General features: G+C 56.2%; 1 protein-coding gene and 1 non-coding gene across 11 annotated transcripts in view; both read right to left on the reverse strand.

Annotated features, from left to right (window-relative positions):
* Positions 1–10,662: 10,662 nt before the first annotated feature.
* The window catches only part of SLC12A7 (solute carrier family 12 member 7), a 105,516-nt gene continuing 92,843 nt past the window's right edge, over positions 10,663–23,335 (reverse strand). For 6 of the 10 annotated variants that reach the window (XM_011513941.3, XM_005248231.4, XM_047416640.1 and 3 more), the window contains exons 21-25: positions 20,623–20,730; positions 17,750–17,928; positions 16,861–16,875; positions 13,628–13,761; positions 10,663–12,730 (exon numbers count right to left, since the gene is read on the reverse strand). In XM_011513941.3, coding sequence (XP_011512243.2) covers positions 12,639–12,730; positions 13,628–13,761; positions 16,861–16,875; positions 17,750–17,928; positions 20,623–20,730 — 528 coding nt within the window. In that variant the 3' untranslated portion in view covers positions 10,663–12,638. Of the gene's footprint in view, positions 12,731–13,627; positions 13,762–16,860; positions 16,876–17,749; positions 17,929–20,622; positions 20,731–22,638; positions 22,789–23,335 lie in introns of those variants that run through there. The other 4 variants (NM_006598.3, XR_007058570.1, XR_007058569.1 and 1 more) reach the window with 4 other exon arrangements.
* Positions 23,175–23,253, reverse strand: MIR4635 (microRNA 4635). The gene has a single exon (NR_039778.1). It is a non-coding gene; the product is annotated as a microRNA 4635 (primary transcript).

The following is a 23,335-nucleotide window of genomic DNA, read 5'->3' on the forward strand; positions in this document are numbered from 1 at the left end:
TCCGTGGTGCTGGGTGGGGTCTGTGGGAGGGGTTTGAGCCATGGCGGAAGATCCCTGGTGAATGGCTTGGATGTTTGTTGCCTCCAAGTCTCATGCTGAGACGTGATCCGCAGTGCTGGGTGGGGTCTGTGGGAGGGGTTTGAGTCATGAGGACAGATCCCTGGTGAATATGGCTTGGCGCCCTTGCCGTGGTGATGAGTGAGCTCTCATTCGGTGTTTGTGGGAGATCTGGTTCTTTAGAGCAAGGGCCACAACCCCCAGGCTGTGGACTGCTACTGGTTTGTGGCCTGTTAGGAACGGGCCTCACAGCATGGGGTGGGCGGTGGTGAGTGAGCATGAGTGCCTGAGCCCCGCCTCCTGTTAGATCAGAGGCGGGATTAGATCCTGATGGGTGCTCGAACCCTGTTGTGAACTGCGCATACGAGGGATCTAGGTTGTGTGTTCCTTATGAGAATCTAATGCCTGATGATCGGAAGTGGAAGTTTCATTCTGAAACCATCCCCACACCCCGTCCGTGGAAAACTTGTCTTCCACAAAACCAGTCCCTGGTGGCAAAAAGGTTGGGGACTGCTGGTTTAAAGGAACTGGCACCTCCCCCTCTCTCTCTTGCTCTGACCATGTGACATGCCTGCCCCTCCTTTGCCTCCTGTGTTGAGTGGAAGCTTCCTGAGGTCTCCCCAGAAGCTGAGCAGATGCGGGCACCATGCTTGTACAGCCTGCAGAACGGGGAGCCACATAAACCTCTTTTCTTTATAAATACCCCAGTGCCAGGTATTCTTTTATAGCAATGCCAAACAGACTAACACAGGAACCTCCCCCCCGTCAAAAACCCTACAAAAAACACATATGCACAAAAAGTGAGCCAGTGCTGAATGGTCTCGTTCATTAAACACCCACATGTAAAGATCAGTGTGTCTTGTCAGTTACGCTGCAGCAGCTTGGCCTGGGGCCAAGGGCGAATTGTGTGTGTGAAGCTGTTGGGTACCATGTCCAGCAGGCCTGGCACATGGTGGATGGGAAGGGACACAGCACAGGATGGCATCAGGTCCCTCTCTGGCTCCCGGGCCACACCTGTCGGGGGACATGGGTGCCACCAAAAGGAAGGCCGTGCTGTGCTGCAGGCAAGATGGAGGCAGAGGCTCCTCGGAGGACTCCCGGCACACAGCCTGCTCCTGGGGCAGCTCTACCTGCCGTTTGGCCCAGTCTTCCCACCATGCTGGCACCAGAAAGGCTTCACTGCAGGAGACCGGGTGACAAAGGTGACACACAGACAGAGGCCTGGGTCACAGAAACCAAGAGCCTTGTTCTTTCTTGTGTGAGTGTAGACTTTGACTACCAGATGATCTTGTCGCTGGACCAGCCTGTATCTGAATGAGTGGGAGTGACTTGGTGTAAATTAGTGAGTGAATGGGTGAAGGATGAGTGGGTGAATTAGGGAATGAATGAGTGAACGGGTGAATAAATGAATGGAACGGTGACTGAGTGAGTGAATGACAGTGGTGAGTGAGGGCTGAGGGGTAAATGAGTACATGAGTAGGCGAATGAATGCATGACAGTGAGTGGGTTAGTGTGTAAATGAGTGTGTGAATGAGTGAACGGGTGAATGAACAATGAGTGAGTGACAGTGATGAGTGAGGGCTGAGGGGTAAATGAGTACATGAGTAGGCGAATGAATGGGTGGGTGACAGTGGGTGAGCTGTGAATGAATGGGTGCTTAAGGAGTGAGTGAATGATGAGTGGGTGAATGGGTGAGTCAGGGAACGGGTGGATGAGCAGGTAAGTGAATTAGTATGCAGATGACTGGGTGAACGAGTTGGTGAGTGAGGGAACCAGTGAGTGAGTGGGTTAGTGTGTGAATGAGTGGGTTAGTGTGTGAATGAGTGGGTGTGTGAACGAGTGGGTCAGTGTGTGAATGGGTGTGTGAACAAATGGGTTTGTGTGAATGGGTGTGTGAACGAGTGGGTGTGAATGAGTGAATGGGTGTGTGAAGGAGTGGGTTAGTATGTGAATGGGTGAACGAGTGGGTTAGTGTGTGAATGAGGGAGTTTGTGAATGAGGGAGTTAGTGTGTGAATGGGTGTATGAACGACTGGGTTTGTGAATGGGTGTGTGAACGAATGGGTTAGTGTGTGAATGGGTGAGTTTGTGAAAGAGGGAGTGTGTGGATGTGTGAATGAGTGGGTTAGTGTGTGAATGAGTGGGTGTGTGAATGGGTGGTGTGTGAATGAGTGGGTTAGTGCATGAATGAGTCGGGTTATTGTGTGAATGAGTTTGTGAATGGGTTAGTGCGTGAATGAGTGGGTGGGTTAGTGTGAATGAGTGGGTGTGTGAACGAGTGGGTGAGTTAGCGTGTGAATGGGTTAGTGTGTGAGGGGGTTAGTGTGTGAATGGGTGTGTGAATGAGTGGGTTAGTGTGTGAACGAGTGGGCTAGTGTGTGAACGAGTGGGTGAGTTTGTGAATCAGTGGGCGAGTTAGTGTGTGAATGGGTGAATTCGTGTGTGAATGTGTGTGAACGAGTGGGTGACTTAGTGTGTAAATGACTGGGTGTGTGAGCGAGTGGGTGTTAGGGTGTGAGTGGGTTAGTGTGTGAATGGGTGAGTTAGTGTGTGAATGAGTTAGTGTGTGAATGAATCAGTGGGTTAGTGTGTGAATGAGTGAGTGAATGGGTGGGTTAGTGTGTGTGTGAAGGGGTTAGTGTGTGAACGAGTGGGCGAGTTAGTGTGTCAATGAGTGGGTGTGAATGAGTGCGTGTGTGAATGAGTGGGTGAGTTAGTGTGTGAATGAGTGGCTGTGAACGAGTGGGTGAGTTTGTGAATGAATGGGTGAGATCGTGTGTGAATGGGTTAGTGTGTGAATGAGTGGGTGGGTTAGTGTGTGAATGAATGGGTAGATTAGTGTGTGAATGAGTGGGTGGGTTAGTGTGTGAATGAGTGAGTTAGTGAATGGGTGGGTTAGTGTGTGAGTGAGTGCATGAATGGGTGAGTTAGTGTGTGAACGAGTGGGCGAGTTAGTATGTGAATGAGTGGGTTAGTGTGTGAAGGAGTGGATGTGTGAACAAGTGGGTGAGTTAAGTGTGTGAATGAGTGGGTGTGTGAACGAGTGGGTGTGTGAATGAATGGGTGAGTTCGTGTGTGAATGAGTGGGTGTGTGAATGAGGGGTTTGTGAATGAGTGGGTGAGTTTGTGAACGAGTGGGCGAGTTAGTGGGTGAATGTGTGAATGAGTGGATGAGTTAGTGTGTGAACGAGTGGGTTAGTGTGAATGAGTGGGTGAGTTAGTGTGCAAATGAGTGGGTGAGTGTGAATGGGTGTGTGAACGAGTGGGTTAGTGTGAATGGGTGAGGTAGTGTGTGAATGAGTGGGTTAGTGTGAATGAGTGGGTGTGTAAATGAGTTTGTGAATGAGTGGGCAGGTTAGTGTGTGAATGAATAGGTGAGTGTATGAACGGGTTAGTGTGTGAATGAGTGTGTGAATGAGTGGGTTAGTGAAAGAGTGGGCAAGTTAGTGTGTGAATGAGTGGGCGAGTTAGTGTGTGAATGAGTAGGTGAGTGTGTGGGTGTGTGAATGAGTGGGTGAGTTTGTGAATGAATGGGTTTGTGAATGGGTGGGTTAGTGTGTGAATGAGTGGGTTAGTGTGTGAATAAGTTGGGTTGTGTGAATGAGTGTGTGAATAAGTGGGTGGGTTAGTGTATGAATGAGTGAGTGTGTGAATGGGTGAGTTTGTGAACGAGTGGGCAAGTTAGTGTGTGAACGAGTGGGCAAGTTAGTGTGTGAACGAGTGGGCGAGTTAGTGTGAATGAGTGGGCGAGTTACTGTATGAATGAGTGGGCGAGTTAGTGTGTGAATGAGTAGGTGTGTGAATGAGTGGGTGTGTGAACGAGTGGGTGAGTTTGTGAATGAATGGGTTAGTTTGTGAATGAGTGGGTGGGTTAGTGTGTGAATGAGTGGGTTAGTGTGTGAATAAGTTGGGTTGTGTGAATGAGTTAGTGTGTGAATAAGTGGGTGGGTTAGTGTATGAATGAATGGGTGAGTTTGTGAACGAGTGGGCAAGTTAGTGTGTGAGTGGGCGAGTTAGTGTGTGAAGCAGTGGGCAAGTTTGTGAATGAGTGGGTGAGTTACTGTGTGAATGAGTGGGCATGTGAATGAGTCGATGAGTTAGTGTGTGAATGGGTGTGTGAACGAGTGGCTGAGTTAGTGTGTGAATGGGTTAGTGTGTGAATGAGGGATTTTGTGAATGGGTGTGTGAACGAGTGGGTGAGTTAGTGTGTGAATGAGTGGGTGTGTGAATGAGTGGGTGAGTTGGTGTGTGAAAGAGTGGGTTAGTGCATGAATGGGTGGGTTAGTGTGTGAATGGGTTGTGAACGAGTGGGTGAGTTAGTGTGTGAATGAGTGGGTGACTGTGTGAATGAATGGGTTAGTGTGTGAATGAGTGGGTGAGTTAGTGTGTGAACGAGTGGGCGAGTTTGTGAATGAGTGGGGGAGTTAGTGTGTGAATGAGTGGGTGAGTTAGTGTGTGAATGGGTGTGTGAATGAGTGGGCTAGTGTGTGAATGAGTGGGTGTGTGAACGAGTGGGTGAGTTAGTGTGTGAATGAATGGGTTAGTGTGTGAATGGGTTAGTGTGAGTGAGTCAGTGGGTTAGTGTATGAATGAATGAGTGGGTGGGTTAGTGTGTGAGTGGGTTAGTGTGAAAGAGTGGGCGAGTTAGTGTGTCAATGAGTGGGCGAGTTTGAATGTGTGTGAACAAGTGGGTGAGTTAGTGTGTGAATGAGTGGGTTAGTGTGTGAATGAGTGGGTGTGTGAACGAGTGGGTGAGTTACTGTGAATGAATGGGTGGGTTAGTGTGTAAATGAATGGGTGAGTTAGTGTGTGAGTGGGTTAGTGTGTGAATGAGTCAGTGGGTTAGTGTGTGAATGGGTGGGTTAGTGTGTGAATGAGTGAGTTCGTGTGTGAATGGGTGAGTTAGTGTGTGAATGAGTGGGTGAGTTAGTGTGTGAATGAGAGGGTGTGTGAACGAGTGGGTTAGTGTGTAAATGAGTGGGTGTGTGAACGAGTGGGTGAGTTGGTGTGTGAAAGAGTGGGTTAGTGCATGAATGGGTGGGTTAGTGTGTGAATGGGTTGTGAACGAGTGGGTGAGTTAGTGTGTGAATGAGTGGGTGAGTGTGTGAATGAATGGGTTAGTGTGTGAATGAGTAGGTGAGTTAGTGTGTGAATGAGAGGGTGTGTGAACGAGTGGGTGAGTTGGTGTGTAAATGAGTGGGTGTGTGAACGAGTGGGTTAGTGTGTGAATGAGTGGGTGAGTTAGTGTGAATGAATGGGTGTGTGTGTGAATGAGTGGGTTAGTGTGTGAATGAGTCGGGTTAGTGTGTGAATGAGTGTGAATGAGTTAGTGTGTGAATGAGTGGGTGAGTTAGTGTGTGAACGTGTGGGCAAGTTAGTGTGTGAGTGGGCGAGTTAGTGTGTTAATGAATAGGTGAGTTTGTGAATGAGTGGGTGTGTGAACGAGTGGGTGAGTTAGTGTGTGAATGAATGGGTTAGTGTGTGAGTGGGTGGGTTAGTGTGTGAATGGGTGGGTTAGTGTGTGAATGGATGAGTTAGTGTGTGAATGAGTGGGTTAGTGTGTGAATGAGTCGGGTTAGTGTGTGAATGACTGGGTGGGTTAGTGTATGAATGAGTGTGTGAATGGGTGAGTTAGTGTGTGAACGAGTGGGCGAGTTAGTGTGTGAATGGGTGAGTTAGTGTGTGAATGAGTGGCTGAACGACTGTGAATGGGTGTGTGAACGAGTGGGTTAGTGTGTGAATGAATGGGTGAGTTCGTGTGTGAATGAGTGGGTAAGTGTGTGAATGAGTCGGGTTAGTGTGTGAATGTATGAATGAGTGGGTGGGTCAATGTGTGAATGAGTTAGTGTGAATGAGTGGGTGAGTTAGTGTGTGAACGAGTGGGTGAGTTTGTGTGAATGAGTGGGCGAGTTAGTGTGTGAATGGGTCAGTGTTTTGGTGTGTGAACGAGTGGGTGAGTTAGTGTGTGAATGAGTGGGTTAGTGTGTGAATGAGGGAGTTAGTGTGTGAGTGGGTTTGTGAACGAGTGGGTTAGTATGTGAATGAGTGGGTGAGTTAGTGCATGACTGAGTGGGTGAGTTGGTGTGTGAATGAGTGGGTTAGTGCATGAATGGGTGGGTTATTGTGTGGATGAGTGTGAATGGGTGTGTGAACGAGTGGGTTAGTGTGTGAATGAGTGGGTTAGTGTGTGAGAGTGTGTGAGGGTGTGTGAATGAGGGGGTTAGTGTGAACGAGTGGGCGAGTTTGTGAATGAGTGGGCGAGTTAGTGTGTGAATGAGTGGGTGTGTGAATGAGTGGATGTTATTGTGTGAATGAGTGGGTGTGTGAACGAGTGGGTTAGTGTGTGAATGAGTGGGTGAGTTAGCGTGTGAATGAGGGATTTAGTGTGTGGGTGTGTGAACGAGTGGGCGAGTTAGTGTGTGAATGAGTGGGTTAGTGTGTGAATGGGTGTGTGAGTGGGTTAGTGTGTGTATGGGTGTGTGAACGAGTGGGTTAGTGTGTGAATGAATGGGTTAGTGTGTGAATGAGTCAGTGGGTTAGTGTATGAATGTGTGTGAGTGGGTGGGTTAGTGTGTGAATGAGTGGGTGAGTTAGTGTGTCAATGAGTGGGTGAGTTTGTGAATGAGTGTGTGTGAACAACTGGGTGAGTGTGTGAATGAGTGGGTGAGTGTGTGAATGAGTGGGTTAGTGTGTGAATGAGTGGGTTTGTGAATGAGCCGGTGGGTTAGTGTGTGAATGAGTTAGTGTGTGAATGAGTGGGTGGGTTAGTGTGTGAATGAGTTAATGTGTGAATGAGTGGGTGAGTTACTTTGTGAACGAGTGGGCGAGTTAGTGTGTGAATGGGTTAGTGTGTGAATGAGTGGGTGTGTGAAGGAGTGGGTGAGTTACTATGTGAATGAATGGGTGAGTTAGCGTGTGAATGGGTGGGTTAGTTTGTGAATGAATGGGTGAGTTAGTGTGTGAGTTGGTTAGTGTGTGAATGAGTCGGTGGGTTAGTGTGTGAATGAGTTCGTGTGTGAATGGGTGAGTTAGTGTGAATGAATGGGCGAGTTAGTGTGTGAATGAGTGGGTTAGTGTGTGAATGAGCGGGTATGTGAACGAGTGGGTTAGTGTGTAAATGAGTGGGTGTGTGAATGAGTGGGTGTTTGTGTGAATGAATGGGAGAGTTAGTGTGTGAATGGGTGAGTTAGTGTGTGAATGAGCGGGTGTGTGAACAAGTGGGTTAGTGTGTAAATGAGTGGGTGTGTGAATGAGTGGGTTAGTGTGTGAATGAGTGGGTTAGTGTGTGAATGAGTGGGTTAGTGTGTGAATGAGTGGGTTAGTGTGCAAATGAATGGGTGAGTTTGTGAATGGGTTAGTGTATGAATGAGTCGGTTTAGTGTGTGAATGAGTGTGTGAATGAGTAGGTAAGTTAGTGCGTGAACGAGTGGGTGAGTTAGTGTGTGAATGAGTCGGTGAGTTAGTGTGTGAATGAATGGGTTAGTGTGTGAATGAGTGGGTGGGTTAGTGTGTGAATGGATGAGTTAGTGTGTGAATGAGTGGGTTAGTGTGTGAATGAGTCGGTGGGTTAGTGTGTGAATGAGTGGGTGGGTTAGTGTATGAATGTGTGAATGGGTGAGTGTGTGAATGGGCAAGTTAGTGTGTGAATGGGTTAGTGTGTGAATGGTCGAACGAGTGTGTGTGTGAATGGTTGTGTGAACGAGTGGGTTAGTGTGTGAATGGGTGAGTTCGTGTGTGAATGTGGGTGTGTGTCGGGTTAGTGTGTGAATGTGTGAATGAGTGGGTGGGTCAATGTGTGAATGAGTTAGTGTGAATAAGTGGGTTAGTGTGTGAACGAGTAGGCGAGTTAGTGTGTGAATGGGTTAGTGTGTGAATGGGTCAGTGTGTGAGTGGATGTGTGAACGAGTGGGTGAGTTTGTGAATAGGTGTGTGAATGAGTGGGTTAGTGTGTGAATGGAGTTTGTGGGTGTGTGAACGAGTGGGTTAGTGTGTGTTAGTGTGTGAATGGGTGAGTTGGTGTGTGAATGAGTGGGTTAGTGTGTGAATGAGTGGGTGGGTTATTGTGTGAATGAGTGAGTGGGTTAGTGTGTGAGGGAGTTAGTGTGTGAGTGGGTGTGTGAACGAGTGGGTTAGTATGTGAATGAGTGGGTTAGTGTGTGACTGGGTGAGTTGGTGTGTGAATGGGTTAGTGCATGAATGGGTGGGTTATTGTGTGGATGAGTGTGTGAATGGGTGTGTGAACGAGTGGGTTAGTGTGTGAATGGGTTAGTGTGAGTGTGTTAGTGTGTGAATGAGGGTGTGTGAATGAGGGGGTGTGTGAACGAATGGGCGAGTTTGTGAATGGGTGTGTGAATGAGTGGATGAGTTGTGTGAATGGGTGTGTGAACGAGTGGGTGAGTGTGTGAATGAGTGGGTTAGTGTGTGAATGAGGGATTTAGTGTGAGTGGGTGTGTGAACGAGTGGGTTTGTGAATGAGCGGGTGTGTGTGAATGAGTGGGTGAGTTGGTGTGTGAATGAGTGGGTTAGTGCGTGAATGAGTGGGTGGGTTAGTGTGTGAATGAGTGGGTGTGTGAACGAGTGGGCGAGTTTGTGAATGGGTGTGTGAACGAGTGGGTTAGTGTGTGAATGGGTTAGTGAATGGGCTAGTGTGTGTCAGTGGGTTAATGTGTGAATGAGTTGGTGAATGTGTGAACGAGTGGGCGTTAGTGTGTGAATGAGGGTGTGTGAACGAGTGGGTGGGTTAGTGAATGAGTGTGCGAATGAGTGGGTAAGTGTGTGAATGAGTGGGTGAGTTAGTGTATGAGTGGGCAAGTTAGTGTGTGAATGGGTGGGTGAGTTGAGTGGGTGTGTGAACAAGTGGGTTAGTGTGTGAATGAGTGGGTTAGTGTGTGAGTGGATTAGTGTGTGAATGAGTGGGTGGGTTTGTGAATGAGTGGGTTAGTGTGTGAACGAGTGGGCAAGTTAGTGTGTGAATGAGTGGGCGAGTTAGCGTGTGAATGGGCGAGTTAAGTGTGTGAATGAGTGGGTGACTGCTCTAGCCGAGTTCTTGCTCCTTGGGAAGCACCGGCCAAGGCTAGGAAGCAGCCTGGTTTTTGGGGTCCCAGGGAAGGGGACACCTAGGGGTTTCTGGCTGGGCCCTGGTCCCAGATGTGTAGGCATCAGTGGGTCTCCAAACCTCCCTGCTGGAATTTGTGAGCATCTGGCCCTCAGGACAGTAGGCCCACCCCAGCCGGCCGCTCCCGTGCTCTGAGTCCCGGGTGTGGATGCCTGGGTGCAGCCAGCACTCACCCCTCGGGGGTCCGAGGACGACGCTGCTCTCACGGTCACTCTCCTGTGACCCGAGAGCCAGAGCAGGACCCGCCACCCTCCTGTGCCGTGTCCCTTCCTGTCCACCATGTGTCAGGCCCACTGGACACGGTGCCCGGCAGCTTCACACACACAATTCGCCCTTCGTCGTGCACGAGGCAGTGTTCCAGCATGTTCAGTCACATAAGCTTCACCACAGCCATTTCGGAACATTTTCACCCAAAAAGAAATCCATACCCTGTAAGCAGCCTCCCCCCATCCCCCATCTCCCCCCATTCCCCTTGACCCACCCCCAGCACCCGCCAGTGCACCCCCTGCCTCTGTGCCTGGCCCACTCTGGCATTTCGTGTTAAGTGCAGTCCCACAGCGTGAGACCCTTTGTGTCTAGCTTCCTCCCGAGCGTGAGGCTTCCAAGCTTGGCTCCTGGTTCTAGCTGAGAGGCCTGCAGCAGGCACGGCCCACATGGACTCAGCATGTTCTCGGGCTGCATCCATTTTGGCTGCTGTGAACTTGCGTGCACCCGTTCCTGAGGCTGTGCCACACACCAGGAGTGGACCTGCCGGGGAAGGGGCGGCTCTGTCTCTCACACTTTCAGGAACCACAGGCCCTTCCCGTGCAGCTACAACCCTGCAAGAGGGGTCCGATTCCGCACGTCCTCCCCGCGATTCTCTGGTTTTGGCTGTGACCATCACAGGTGTGAGTTGGCATCTCACGAGTTAGAACACGCTGTCCCCACTCATGGCGGACTCTCTGGTGCCTCCATCCTTATATAAATTAAATTATAAATCGAATGGCCGGGCATGGTGGCTCATACCTGTAATCCCAGCACTTTAGGAGGCTGAGGCAGGCAGATCACTTGAGGTCAGTTCGAGACCAGCCTGGCCAACATGGTGAAACCCCATCTCTACTAAAATACAAAAATTAGCTGGGCGTGGTGGTACACGCCTGTGATCCCAGCTATTCGGGAGGCTGAGGCAGGAAAATAGCTTGAACCTGGGAGGCGGAGGTTGCAGTGAGCTGAGGTGACGCCACTGCATTCCAGCCTAGGCAACAGAGACTGTCTCAGAAATACAGAGATTGGGTCACTTCAACACACAGCACTAGGAAGTTTGGGGTAAGGTCATTTCCAAGCCGATGACATGATTTGGAAGCCCTCGTCCAATTCATATGGTCACTCTTCAGCCACCTGAGTTGGCTGTGGCTGGTCAGCCCTGACGCTCCTGCTAGAAAAGGGGCGGCCAGTACATTTTCTCCAGCTGTCTTTCATGCTGAATGAGACTCAAGAGATTCTTCAACGTACTCAGATTTCATAGGATTTTATTTTTCTACTAACACAGACAGACAGGGAAACCTACAAAAGGAAACGGAGTCAATTGTAAATGGCTGTAGTTACTGGTTACACGGAGTTGACAACACAAAGGATGCCTGGTGCTTGCGTGCAGAGGCTGCAGCCCAGGGCGGGGGCAGAGCTGAGCCCTCAGGAGGTGGTTTCGTGTGCAGAACTGAGCGGCCCTCAGAAGCAGGGCTGTTTTCCAGCCACCAACCAACGTTCAGAGCCAGCACCATGTGGCCGCTGTGCCTCTAGCCTGCTCTCCTCCAGGTGCAGGGGACACAGGACCTGCCGGCCCCATCCAGACATGGAGGAGCGTTTTGCTGCTTAACTCATGCTTAGCCAAGGCAGGCAGAGGCTGTGGGAACTGCTGAGCCCCGCTGTGATGTCTGGGACACGCTCTGGGCAGCAGCCGTCACTCTACAGCAATGCCAGCCCTAGTCTGGCTCCTCAGAAACATCTGGGGGCACAAGTGCAGCCTCTGCCCCGATTTGAACTTTGTTGATGGGGCTGATTCCCTTGGGAGACCATGCAAGCCAGACGTAGCCCAAGGCCTGGCCATCTGGGGCCTCTAGTATATAGAAGCAACCTCTTTATGGACAACCTTGTTACCACGTAACTCCCTGGGGTGTTTAAATAAATAAATATGCCACATAGAAAGGGAGGCCCAAGTCGGTGCCACTGCCCGCAGCCTGCAAATGTGACCACAACCTACAAAGCAGAAACTCACAGCCAGCCGAAGTGCAAAGTGTTGGGCCCTTGAAAGCTATCTCTTCAGTGCCACCGCCGCCTCCATGCAAGGCACAGGCCATGGCAGGGGACGCCCGGGACTCAGCCAGACAGACCTGACACCAGGCGCCACTGCTGCCTGAGGACCTCCCACGTCGGGTCCGTGTCCTCCTTCCCTGGAGCACCGGGGTGGGGATGGCACGTGTGAGCCAGCTCAGAGGCTGAACTGTGTGCCGTGCTCCTGGGGTGGGGTGGGGTGGGGAGGGCAGTCCTGGCTGTCGTGGGCTGTCGGGGGAACTCACTGTTCACTCTGCGCGCGTGTGCCCCTGGGTTTCAGTGCATTTGCCTGCGTGAGGCACTGATCGCACCTGTGGCTGTGGGCTGGGCCCTGTCAGTGCTTATGAAAAGAAGTGGCTGGTTTTCTAAAGGTGGATGGAGACTCGGACAGCTGCAAACACAGCCCGGCATGGCAGAGCCACAGCTGGGGGCCCCTTCCCGGAGCGTAGGCCCTGATGAACTGAACGTGTTCACCACACACCCGACAGATGATCCACCACGTTCTGGAAAAGCCGAGTTCCCTTTCCAGATGGCCCTGGCCCACGCCTCAGCTCATGAAATGTGGACCTGCCGAGCCCAGAGGCTCCCACACGAGGGTGACACGGGCATGGACAGAGTCCTCCAGCTTCAGTGCCTTGAGGTACAGAAACACAAAGACAGTCAAGGAACAGAGTGACTCGGAGGTGACCGGGGCCCTGAGCGGAGCCATGGCCAGGGCTGACGTTTCACCTTCATCATCAGGGACAGCTTCAGCTCCGGGTGCTCTTCCAAGAATGTTCTGGATGGGGTAGAAATGCAACCTAACCACTGGGTAAATCCAGCCAAGGAAAAGAACTTCCAGAAACCAAGGCAAGGGCTCACTGGCTTCTTGTGACCTGCGAGAAGATCTGGCCACGTCCAGGTCACTCCGGTAGCAGCGTCTGCCCTCAGATGCAAGGAAATCGTCCAGCCACGCCCTGATTTGCTGAGCCTGTTAAGGCTGAACAGGAGAGCCCTAGGTGACGGGCCTAGAAACTTCCGTAGGAAGCCCCATGGGCAGCTTGGGCGGCATCACTGGGGGACAGGTGTGTCTGCCGTCTGTTTCCCTGGGCCAAGCCCAGGCCCAGGCTGCCCACGCCGTCCTCCGTGCCTGTCCCAGAGTGCCGTGATGCTGTTGGGCATTAGGAGTAGATGGTGATCACCTCCCGGCCGCCACCCCTGACCAGGAGGACTCTGTTCAGCCCCTCGGTCAGGACTTCAAGAAACTCCATGTCTGTGGTCAACAGAGTTAAGGCCACAGCTGATCTTACCTGAGCGTGTGTAGCTGAAATCGTGATAGGAGTGAGGTTTATCCTCTCCTGGTTAGCTAAGATTTGGTTTGAGAAACCCAGAGCCAAGGTGAAAAGAGAGGTGGGGATTAGAGAGACCCCCCAGGCGGGGAGGAGCAGGGCAGGGGAGAGAGGGGCCAGTGCTCGGGAAAGAGAGGGAGCACCGTGGCCACAGGGAGGACGAGCAGAGACAGCGACACAGCCCACGGTGCTGACCCCACCCGACAGGGAACCCCAGCCACGGGACTGGGTCCTCACCAGCCTACAGGGGACCTGGGCCACGGATTCCGATCAGGACGCATGGAGGACATGCCCTCACTGGCCCCAGTTCTTGGTGCCAACCTGGCAGGGATGTGCCAGGCGTCACCCTGTCTGTGCCAATACGCCCAGATGCACTGCGGAGTTCTCCTTCCAAAGCACAAATTCCCAAAGCTGCGACCAATTGTGGCCTTAAAGCCGAGAGCTGGGCTCCTCACCTCCCACCGTTGTCGGCGCAGGGTGGGGCTGAGCCCCAGCGGAGGTCCCAGAATGCACAGCTGCTGTGGGGATGCATGACAGGGAGCCTCCCAGCCCCAGGGCAGCCCTGAGCACCTGGGGACAGTGGGGCTGGTACTGTAGGCGGGCCCTCCCTCCCCCACACCAATGCCAGGGCTGGCCCCAACTCTGGCCCGGTCACCACTGGGCTCAGAGCCCCACTGCATCCCGGTCGTAGCTCCCAGAGCCTGGGGCTGAAGGAGAGGCGGGAAGCCAGCCTCACTCCCAGCACCCACAAACCCAGGTCTTAGCGAGAAGCCACCAGGGGGTGCCCGCACGCTCAGCAGGCACACTGCAAGAAAGGATACAGTTCTCGTCTCCCTGCCGGTTTTTGGGAGGACCTGGCATGTTGAGCAGGACCAGCTGCGCATCCTGGGACTTGTTGAGGACGACGCCATTGAGCTTCACAGCCGTGTGCATCCGCCTGACGTTGGACTGGTCCCTGCAGGGGAGGTGGGCACGGTCAGCGGGCGGCGGGTGCACCCCACGCTCCGGACACGAGGCTGAGCTGAGCCCTGATGAGCTGCATTCACACGTGTTGGAAAGGGCTGTGTGAGTCAGGATCAGGCGGATTCTCTGACCCTGAAGGATGCAGAAGTGGCGGCTCCGAGCGAAAGGCGCTGACTGCAGCCAGGGCGGGCGTTCAGCAGCGGGATGCTTTGGCCTCCAGGGACCTAGAACTCAGCCCACTAAGGCTGCCAAGCTTCTAAGGGCTACAGTCACACAACACAAACCGCAAGCGCTTTCCTAACTACATCTACATCTGCAAAGCAGGCAGAACAGTGGAAGCCGTCTGGGTGGCCCATGTGCCTGACGCCTTCAAGGCTGACACGCTTCTCTTGACATCTACATCATCGCCCCTAAACCCCACGTCAGACACTGCCAAACACAGACCCGTCAGGCTGGGCACACATGGCCTCCTCTCCGAGGGTCCTGATACAACTGGGTCCAAGGGGCCGGAAGCTCAGGAAGGAAAGGCCCAGAGTCCCCCACACCGGCCTGTGCAGCCGTTGCTGCTGAAGCTCCCAGGCCTGACAAGGACAGGGTATGCCGAGGACTCAGCTGGAGGCACAGGCCCTCAGTGGCCACTACTGGGTCCCCTCCTACGGCCCACCCTGCCCCTGTCTGGCCAAGGGCTAAAGGACAAGCACTTCCACCGTGTGGCCGTCCAGCCCCCGCCTTCCGTCCTCACAACGCAGCTCTGCTCCACGACCCTCCCTGTCTGCTCTCTGAAGCTGCTGTGGCCGGTCCATGTCTCAAAGCGTCCCTGGCGGCCTGGGCCCGGCCACAGCCCCACAGGAGGCTCCCCAACCAAGTAGGTTTGGGGACACTGCAGAATCATGCTGTGAGGTGCTCAGGCCCTTGCGGGACAGAGCTTATCTCCCTCCTCTACCCCACGGTCCCCTCCTAGGCAGGCCCCTAAACTGCAGCAGAACTGGCGTTCCAGGAGGCCACCTGGGGAAACGCTGGGCGGAGGGGAGCACTTGCGTTTCTGTGTTGGAAAAACCCGGCCCGTGTGTGGACTTGAAAGTCGGAGCGGGTCTCAGGCCAGCTGCAGCCGTGCGGTCGTGACTGTGGCCCCCTGGGGGAGGTCACCAGCGCCCTGGACGCAGAGGGGCGGCGGCGGACAGACAGAGGCCGCCCATGCAGGGTCATGGAGAGGCCCCACGGACGCTATCCAGGCTCACGCCCTTTGATCCGCTTGACGCTTAAGCCACATAAACGTGATCATAACCACCAATTTCCAGGAGGAACACAGGGAGAGACCTTCTATCTTCTCTCCAGCCTGGTCTAATTACAGATGGGGTCTCTGTCCACAGCACAGTCAAGGGGCTTTCGTGCCAGGAACTTGGAACTTTGAATTCGACTTCTGGATAGACCACAATTACCAGTGTGTTTGGGGACAAAGAGCAGCTCCAGGAAGTGAAAGCAGGCCAGGAGCACAGGGGGGTCGGAGTGGGCAGCGTGTCCACAGCCAGTGAGTGCTGGGGTGAGGCGGAGACCTGGCCCTTGGCTACTGGTGGAGTATGCCGGCCGCCACAGCAAGGAGGACCAGTGCAGACACAGGCACAGACACGCACACTAATGTGTATACGCACACACACATACATGCAGACACACTGATGTGTACACACACAGGCATAGTCACACTAATACACAAGTGCATACACTATCATGTACAAACAGGCATGCAGTCACAATGTGCAAATGCGTGCAGACACACTAACATGTAAGACATGCATAGTATGTGCACACAGACATGCACACTAACGTACGTGGACGTGCACACAGGCAGGTACACGTCCACCGGCAGGTGCGCTGACAGGTACATGCGAGCACGCACACAAACAGACATCCGTTAAGTGTGCTCCCGGGGACGTCACAGTAAGCCACGCACATCTCACGCCCGCACTGCCCAGAAGAGGTCAGGGCCGACCTCCAGATCTTCGGAGGGCTTCTCCCAGCCCAACCCCGAGAAACTGCTGGGCCAAGAGAGTCAATGCCATCCCAGACGCACGCCACACATGAATACAAAGCCCACGCGTTGTCCATTCTGGCCCACCTTCTCCTGACCCTACAGGCCTGTGGGGACCTGCCCCCGCCCCGACCAAGGGGAGGCAAGCCCCGGCGCTGGGAGGAGGCACAGGTGCCACTGAGGGTCCCCGAGTGTGTGTGCCTGTGCATGTGTGTGTCAAACCCTACTCCTGGGTCTACGTCGTTCTTCGGCTTTAATTAACACGCTATTCTGAAGGCACTTTCAGATTTACAGAACGGAGCAGGAAGTACAGGGATTCCCTGCACGCCTCGCACATAGCTGCACAGTTTCTTGAGTCTGATTAATTCAGGTTTCGGGGTTAAAGATAAAAAGGGAAGGGAAGTGTGGCCACTCAGCCAAGGCGTTCCTCACTCAGGCACCAGGCACTGCCTGCCCACAAGGAAAACATGGCCCAGGCGGTTACTGGCGGGGGCAGGCAGGGGACAGAGACGGCATCGAGGACTCCCAGGGAGCACCCTGGGGGTCCGTCCAGGGTACACCCTCCCACCTGCCCCGGAGCTCAGACGCAGGTAGCTCCTGCCGAGGGTCCGACCACACAGAGAACTGATCTGCACCCCTCTCCGCCTGGAGGCTGGACAGCTTTAACATGGAAGGCATTCCAGGTGGGAACGCGACTCAGCTAGCGCCTGACCCAGAAGGACGTGGATGGACTCACTGACGGGCCCTGCGAGGCGCACGCCTCCCCTCCACTCCGGAGCGGCTCGGACACCTCCCAGGTCTCAGTTCCTGGGCCTCACTTAGGAAGAGGCTTCAGGCGTGTGCTGGAGCCACCGTGAACAGAGGGGAGCGAAGGCAACAGGAAACTGACGTGGGAGCCGCAGCAGCTCTGGGTGAGCTCTGGCTGTACGCGGACGCACACAAGCCACCGTGCACGGGGCAGGCACAGGCCTAGAACACGCGCACAGACACACGCAGGCCACACACACACAGGCATGCAGGGCAACCGGGCCCGGAAGGCGACCTGGTTGTAGCGAGTGGACTTACAGGTTTCCCCATTCTCTATGCAGGAGAAAAAAACAAGAGTGTGTTACTGACTTCAGGAGAGAGCACCAGGCTGTTCCAGATCGCATGGCTGCCCAGGAGGACGCCGCCTCATCCCACCCCACAGGGCCCAGGAGCCCCCAGCCCTTCCTGAGAACCTGGCTTTAGGGTCTGGCTCTGACCCCGGGTGAGAGGTGTCTCTTGCGCTCTCATCTGGAACTCAGAGGCTGCGTCTGCAGAACCAAACCCACACCCGCAAGGACCCTGTACAGCCCTGGTGTTCGCAGCCCAAGGCCACAGGTGGGAGCCTTGGCGTAGGGCAGGCCCTAAGGCCCGACAGCAGCCTGAACTACCCACAGGGTGAAGGCCAGGAATTCTGTGCCCAGCGGCACAAGCCTCCTCGCCTCCATGGAACAGACCCATCTGCCTGCTGCAGTGAGGCTTGCCTGAGTAAAGCAGGCCTGGCCGCAGGGCTGACTTCAGGGCTGGCCCAGGTACCAGGAGGACTGCTCGTCACCCAGCTGTGGGGTTAACATCAGGACCCACCCTAGGTCCTACAAGGACCCCTCAGCGCTTGGCACTAGAAGGACCCCTCAGCGCTTGGCACTAGAAGGACCCCTCAGCACTTGGCACCCAGGTCTTACAAGGACTCCCGGCCTTGGCACTAGAAGGATCCCTCAGCGCCCGGCCACAGGGCTGAACTCAGGGCCCGGCCTTGGCACCAAAAGGACCCCTCAGTGCCCACTCAGGCGGCTCCCTGTTCTCTAACGGGCCCACTGGCCTGCAGGGTTGCCCCGAAGCTCTTCAGTGGTCAGGGAAGGGACTCTGTCCTCACTGCCGGGCCAGCACTGCCAGGATCTGTTCCCCCCAGGCCACACGCACGGACACTCACGGCTTCATGCTGAAGAGGTCTTTGAAACCAGATAGGCTGGTGTCTCTGCTCCTGTACTTCTCAGCGATCAGCTTCTCCCTGGTCCAGGTCATCTGCACCTTGTCTGGCGTAGGCGGCGCTTGGGTCCTGGCTGCCGCCGCGGTGTGGGACGCGGTGTTCCTGTCGTGGATCAGCTGGGCCTGGCGGGCCCGGGACTTGGTGAGACCAGCCGGTCTCAAAACTCCTCTGGGCGAGAGCGACCCGGGATGCCAGGCCGGAGGTGAGGGCAGCTCACAGAACCTGAAGGGCCCTGTGTGCCTGACCCGGGACCCAGCCTGGCGTCCCACACTGGTCCTGCGCCGCCCCCGTGACTGCCTCCCTCCTCCCAGGCTTCCCGACCAAACGCTCACCCCCTCACCTTCCCGCCCTGGCCCTGAACTGGAAAGGCCCCATGACCCCGTACTGACAGGAGGTGACACGTGCTGGCAGAGTCTCCCCCTCACCTGACGGGGCTCCACACACGTGTTCACCCCAGACCACCTGCTCGCCCACACGACCAGCACGCAGGCGTCCCCGTCTCAGGGAGGCTTGGGGCAGGTGGGGCCGTACCAGCATCCAGGCCCTGTCCCCGGGGAAGCAGGCTGTGTCTGACCAGCCAGGGGACGTTTGGGGGCCGGCCAGGCTGGCAGGGGCCCTGTGGGGCACCGCTGGGGCCAATGACAGGGCCGGCCCCCTGTGCGTCACTTCTGACAATCCGAGGAAAATGAAAACACCGTCCACGCCCCTAGCTGTAGGCGCCGAAGGGGAAGTGGCGCCCTCACCGCGAGATCGCACCAATGGCGCAGCCCCTGGTGGTTAAACACCCTCCACTGGGTTCTCATTCCTCCCTGCACCCTTCACGCCCTCCATGCTGTCGTGGCCAGCCTGACAGGTAGGCCAATGGGAGCTCCCAGACACGGGTGCCACCTTGGAAGTGGTATTTATGCACACACTGGAATGGCCACCTCTCCCACTGTGGCTGGAGCCCCGCCTGAGTTTGTGACGCAGCCCGGGGAGCCACTCGTCCCAGGGGCATCAGGAGTTTGTGAGCCCCGGGGTGATTTTAAAAAGCCAAAGGTCCAGAGTGATTTCACTGGACCAGGTTCTTCTTCCCTGGATAAAACTGTTTAACTTGGATGTCGGTCCTTCCCGAAAGGGAAGAGATTGGCACAGATGGGGGAGGGCCTGGGGCTGCCTCCCTCTCTGGACACAGACAGTGGGCCCCAGGCCTCTACTCATTGTGGCGCCCGGCCCAGCCTAAATTTCCCATGGCCTTGAACGTGAAACCAGAGCCCAAGGGCTGCCCGCTCTCGGCAGAGCCAGCGCCGCCCACCTGGCCCGAGGGCCACCGTGTAAGTCACTAGAGGGTGTCCACCCAGCGTCTGCACAGCAGCTCATCCAAACCCTTCTGCAGAGCGGTGACACCTCCAACCCCCACCTGGCCCAGGAGGGGCCCTTCGAGCTCGAGCTTGCTGTTCCCGCTCCCGGTCCCTCCTCGGTCAGCATTTGCTGACTCTCCACACTGAACTTCCCATGAAGCCATGGGTGGATTCTTGTTCCTAGCTGGACCCGGGCTGAACCCTTGTGACGCCAGGGCGACCCTGCCGGATCTCAGGGACCTGGCCTGGACAGAAAACAGAGGATGTGGGTCCTCCCAGACACTCCCGGCTGCCCGGACCCCCGTGGAAGGGGTCTCTGTCCACGGACAAGCTGGGCGGCCCCCCGTGTCCTGCATCTGTGCCCACCCTGACCTGCCCGGGGTCTGGGAGTGGACAGGACCGCAGCTCCACACGCCTTTCTCTGTTGGGGGAGAGCAGCAGTCGCTGCTTAGTGATTCCGGCTGTCAGCACATATGGCCCCACACGCAGACCCGTGTACTGCAGGTTCCTGCTGAGGCCAAGGCCCCAGGGCAGGCAAATCCCCTGCCCCTGCCTCCGCCGTCACTGCAGTCTCAGAAAACCAACACCTGCACCTGGTCTGCAGACACACGTGTGTGATACCAGCCTGGTGGGACCCACGAAGACCCCATGAGGCCGTGACCTCACAGAGCTGAGCATCCCGCTACCAGGTGACCCCCGTGCTGTCCTCCAGTGCGAAGTGACCACAAAGACACCTGCCCTTGGGGTCTCACAGTGGCCATGGGGCCCAGGCCAGTATAACTCAGGTGGATACACCCAGACGTCCTCAGCAGCCTACAGTTACCCACGGAGCCAAAGCCGCTGCAGCCAGGCGGCCAGCTTCCACGCACGGAGGCTGCACAGGTCTGTGTCGGGGGGTGGGGGGTGGGGGGGTTGGCAACTCCCCTCCAGCTCGCTTCCCTCCCTCCCTGCACACTCACTCTCCCCTCCCACTTGGTCTTAGGACAGAAATCTGTGCATGCTGCGGGGAAGGGCACTGAGGGGCTCCACGGTTTCAGGCTGTGAGACAAAGCAGCCATCGTAAGCAGCTGTGGGCACTCATCCGGCTCAGAAGCCGCTGACCCTGTCAGAGGGCACTGCCCTTGGGGAGGGTCCCCATGTCTCCTGCCTGCACGCTGCTCGGTTAGAAAAGCTAAGTTCAAAGGTCTCGGCCCTCGTCCCTTCCTGCACATGAGCATGCATCTGGCAGGCTGCCGTTCCTCTAACCAGGCACCCGCACGCCCAGGCTCCGATGAGCTCTGGCTTTGACGCCACTCCTGTGCTCCTGCAGGGCCTCTGCCACCTCCACGCAGGCTGGGGGCTGAGCCTGCGACGCAGTACCTGAGGCATGCTCTCTGGAGGACCCTCGTGGGCTGCAGGAGGGTCCCAGAAAAGACTCGGCGAAGTCGGCTATACTTCTCAGAAAGCCTGGTGTCTGTGGCCACGGCCCCCACGTACCTCTCGCTCCTGCTCGTTCTTGGACAGCTGCATCTGCTTCAGCATCTGCGACCTCTGCTCCATCATTAGTGTCCTCTCGTAGGTGAAAGCAGATATGTCGTTTTCAACCTAGAAAGTTCCCAAGCACGTAGTAAGCCCGGTGTGCACAGAACCACGGATGGCTCCAACACCAGCCCGGTACCCAGAGACCGAGCCGCCCTGAGCGGTGGGAAAGGCCACGCGTCCCGGGCCCCACAGGCCCCCTCTGGCTCTCAGGCCCCCCGCCCAGTGGCCAGGAAGGTGTGAGCGCACGATGGGCAGTCACGCCGCACACACGCTCTGCTCATGTCCCTCCCCGGGACCCTCCGACCGGGCACAAGGGCAGCTGTGAGGGCAAGGCCACAGCCACAAACCAACCTGGCACACACGGCTCAGGGCGAGGCACTGCCCCATGGGGCTGCATGATCCACGCTCACAGGTGTCATTGTCTATGCTCAGGGGGGCTTGGCACCATGGGAAACCCACCCAGAACACATGGAGAAGCCACAGCACAACCTCAGCGCCCGCCATGCAGGACCCTGGGTCTCACCCATTGCACCCACCGTGCGGGACCCCTGCGCCTCACCCGGAACATCCACAGTGTGGGACTGCTGCGTCTCACCCACTGCACCTGCCGTGCAGGATCCCTGAGTCTCACCCGCCGCACCCGCCGTGCGGGATCCCTGAGTCTCACCCGCCGCACCCGCCGCACCTGCCGCATCCGCCATGCGGAACCCCTGCGTCTCACCCACCGCACCCGCCGTGCGGGACCCCTGCGTCTCACCCGCCGCACCCGCCGTGCGGGACCCCTGCGTCTCACCCACCGCACCCGCCGTGCGGGATCCCTGCGTCTCACCCACCGCACCCGCCGTACCTGCCGCATCCGCCATGCGGAACCCCTGCGTCTCACCCACCGCACCTGCCGTGCAGGATCCCTGAGTCTCACCCGCCGCACCCGCCGTGCGGGATCCCTGAGTCTCACCCGCCGCACCCGCCGTGCGGGATCCCTGAGTCTCACCCGCCGCACCCGCCGTACCTGCCGCATCCGCCATGCGGGACCCCTGCGTCTCACCCACCGCACCCGCCGTGCGGGATCCCTGAGTCTCACCCGCCGCACCCGCCGTGCGGGATCCCTGAGTCTCACCCGCCGCACCCGCCGCACCTGCCGCATCCGCCATGCGGGACCCCTGCGTCTCACCCACCGCACCCGCCGTGCGGGATCCCTGTGTCTCACCCGCCGCACCCGGCTCATGGGAGTTGGGAGCAGCTGTGCCTGTTAAGCACCAGTATTTAAAACAGCACACCAGATCAGGTGCGGTGGCTCACACCTGTCATCCCAACACTTTGGGAGGCCGAGGCGGGTGGATCACCTGAGGTCAGAAGTTCGAGACCAGCCTGGCCATCATGGTGAAACCCCATTGCTACTAAAAATACAAAGAAAAAAAAAAAAATTAGCCAGGTATGGTGACGTGTACCTGTAGTCCCAGCTACTCAGGAGGCTGAGGCAGGAGAATTGCCTGAACCCAGGAGGTGGAGGTTCCAGCCTTGGGGACAGAGCGAGACTCTGTCTCAAAACTTTTTTTAAAAAAATAAACAGCATGCCAGACTGAATGGCAGCGACCCAGACGCCCCTCTCCAGCCAGGTGGCACTTGTCCCTGCGGCCAGGGCTACGGAGGGGTGGGCAGCCCCAGCCCTGCCAGAGACATGGCTGGGAGCATGGGGGGTGCTGGGAGCTCCAGGTTCCCGGACTTCAGAGCTAACAACCCCTGCTCAGGAGCTGGGGAGCTGCTTCTGGCACCACGGAGGGGCTGGGGGTGCGGCTGGGGCCATGGGCTCACTTTGCCTGTTTCCTCTGGGCCCCAGTGGCCGCCCCACCTGGCCCCCTGGCAGGGCTGGTTCTCCCAGGCAGCATTTTGTTACTATTTTACTAAGCGGTTTTATGACTTGGAAATAACGTTATTCATACGACTATTAGCACCAATAATAACCCCTACAACCTTGAACCCGCAAAGCCTCGTCCAAACAAGACAAACTCCAGCCATCGTCCCCGAAGACACAGCCACATGGAAACTAAGCCCAGTGTACAAAACTGGGCAGAAAACCATCCAGCGTCACGCAGGCCTGCAGCCCTCGGCCTAGGAAAGGTCCTGCAGGGCAAGAGGAAGAACAACCCCACAGGACAACTGAGTTCCACGGGAACTGACACAGAAACACAGAAGGTTGTCGGTGAGGCACGAAGCCGTGCCTGGCCTCACTCACAGCCCGACACAAACCAGGAGCAGGTGCTCGGGGCCTCTGCCATACCCAGGGCTGGGGGGCTGGGGGGCTGGGGGACTGAGGGACTGGGGGACTGGGGGGCTGCGGGGCTGGAGAGACCGCACCTCCCAGGCTGCTGCAGGGGCACAGGTGGCTTCCTGGGGGACAGCGTGACAGTCTCTATCCAGCTTTATGTCTTCCCAGCACCCACCTCCAGGAGTCCAGGCCCCTGAGGACCTGCAAAACCATGCGCTGGGGTCACGGGAGCCGGAAGAAACCAGGACTTTGCGGGTTCTGACTTCAAGACCAGTGTTGTCGGCGTGATCCAAGTGGGGTCAGAACCCACAAAGTCCCGGGACCGCCAGCAGGACCGGAGGGGAAGGCACAGCCGTGGATCCGGGTGGGCTGGTAGCGAGCAGGCATGGTTCCATCCAGCAC

This window comes from Homo sapiens, chromosome 5 (assembly GCF_000001405.40).
Source record: "Homo sapiens chromosome 5, GRCh38.p14 Primary Assembly".
Taxonomy (NCBI): Eukaryota; Metazoa; Chordata; class Mammalia; order Primates; family Hominidae; genus Homo; species Homo sapiens.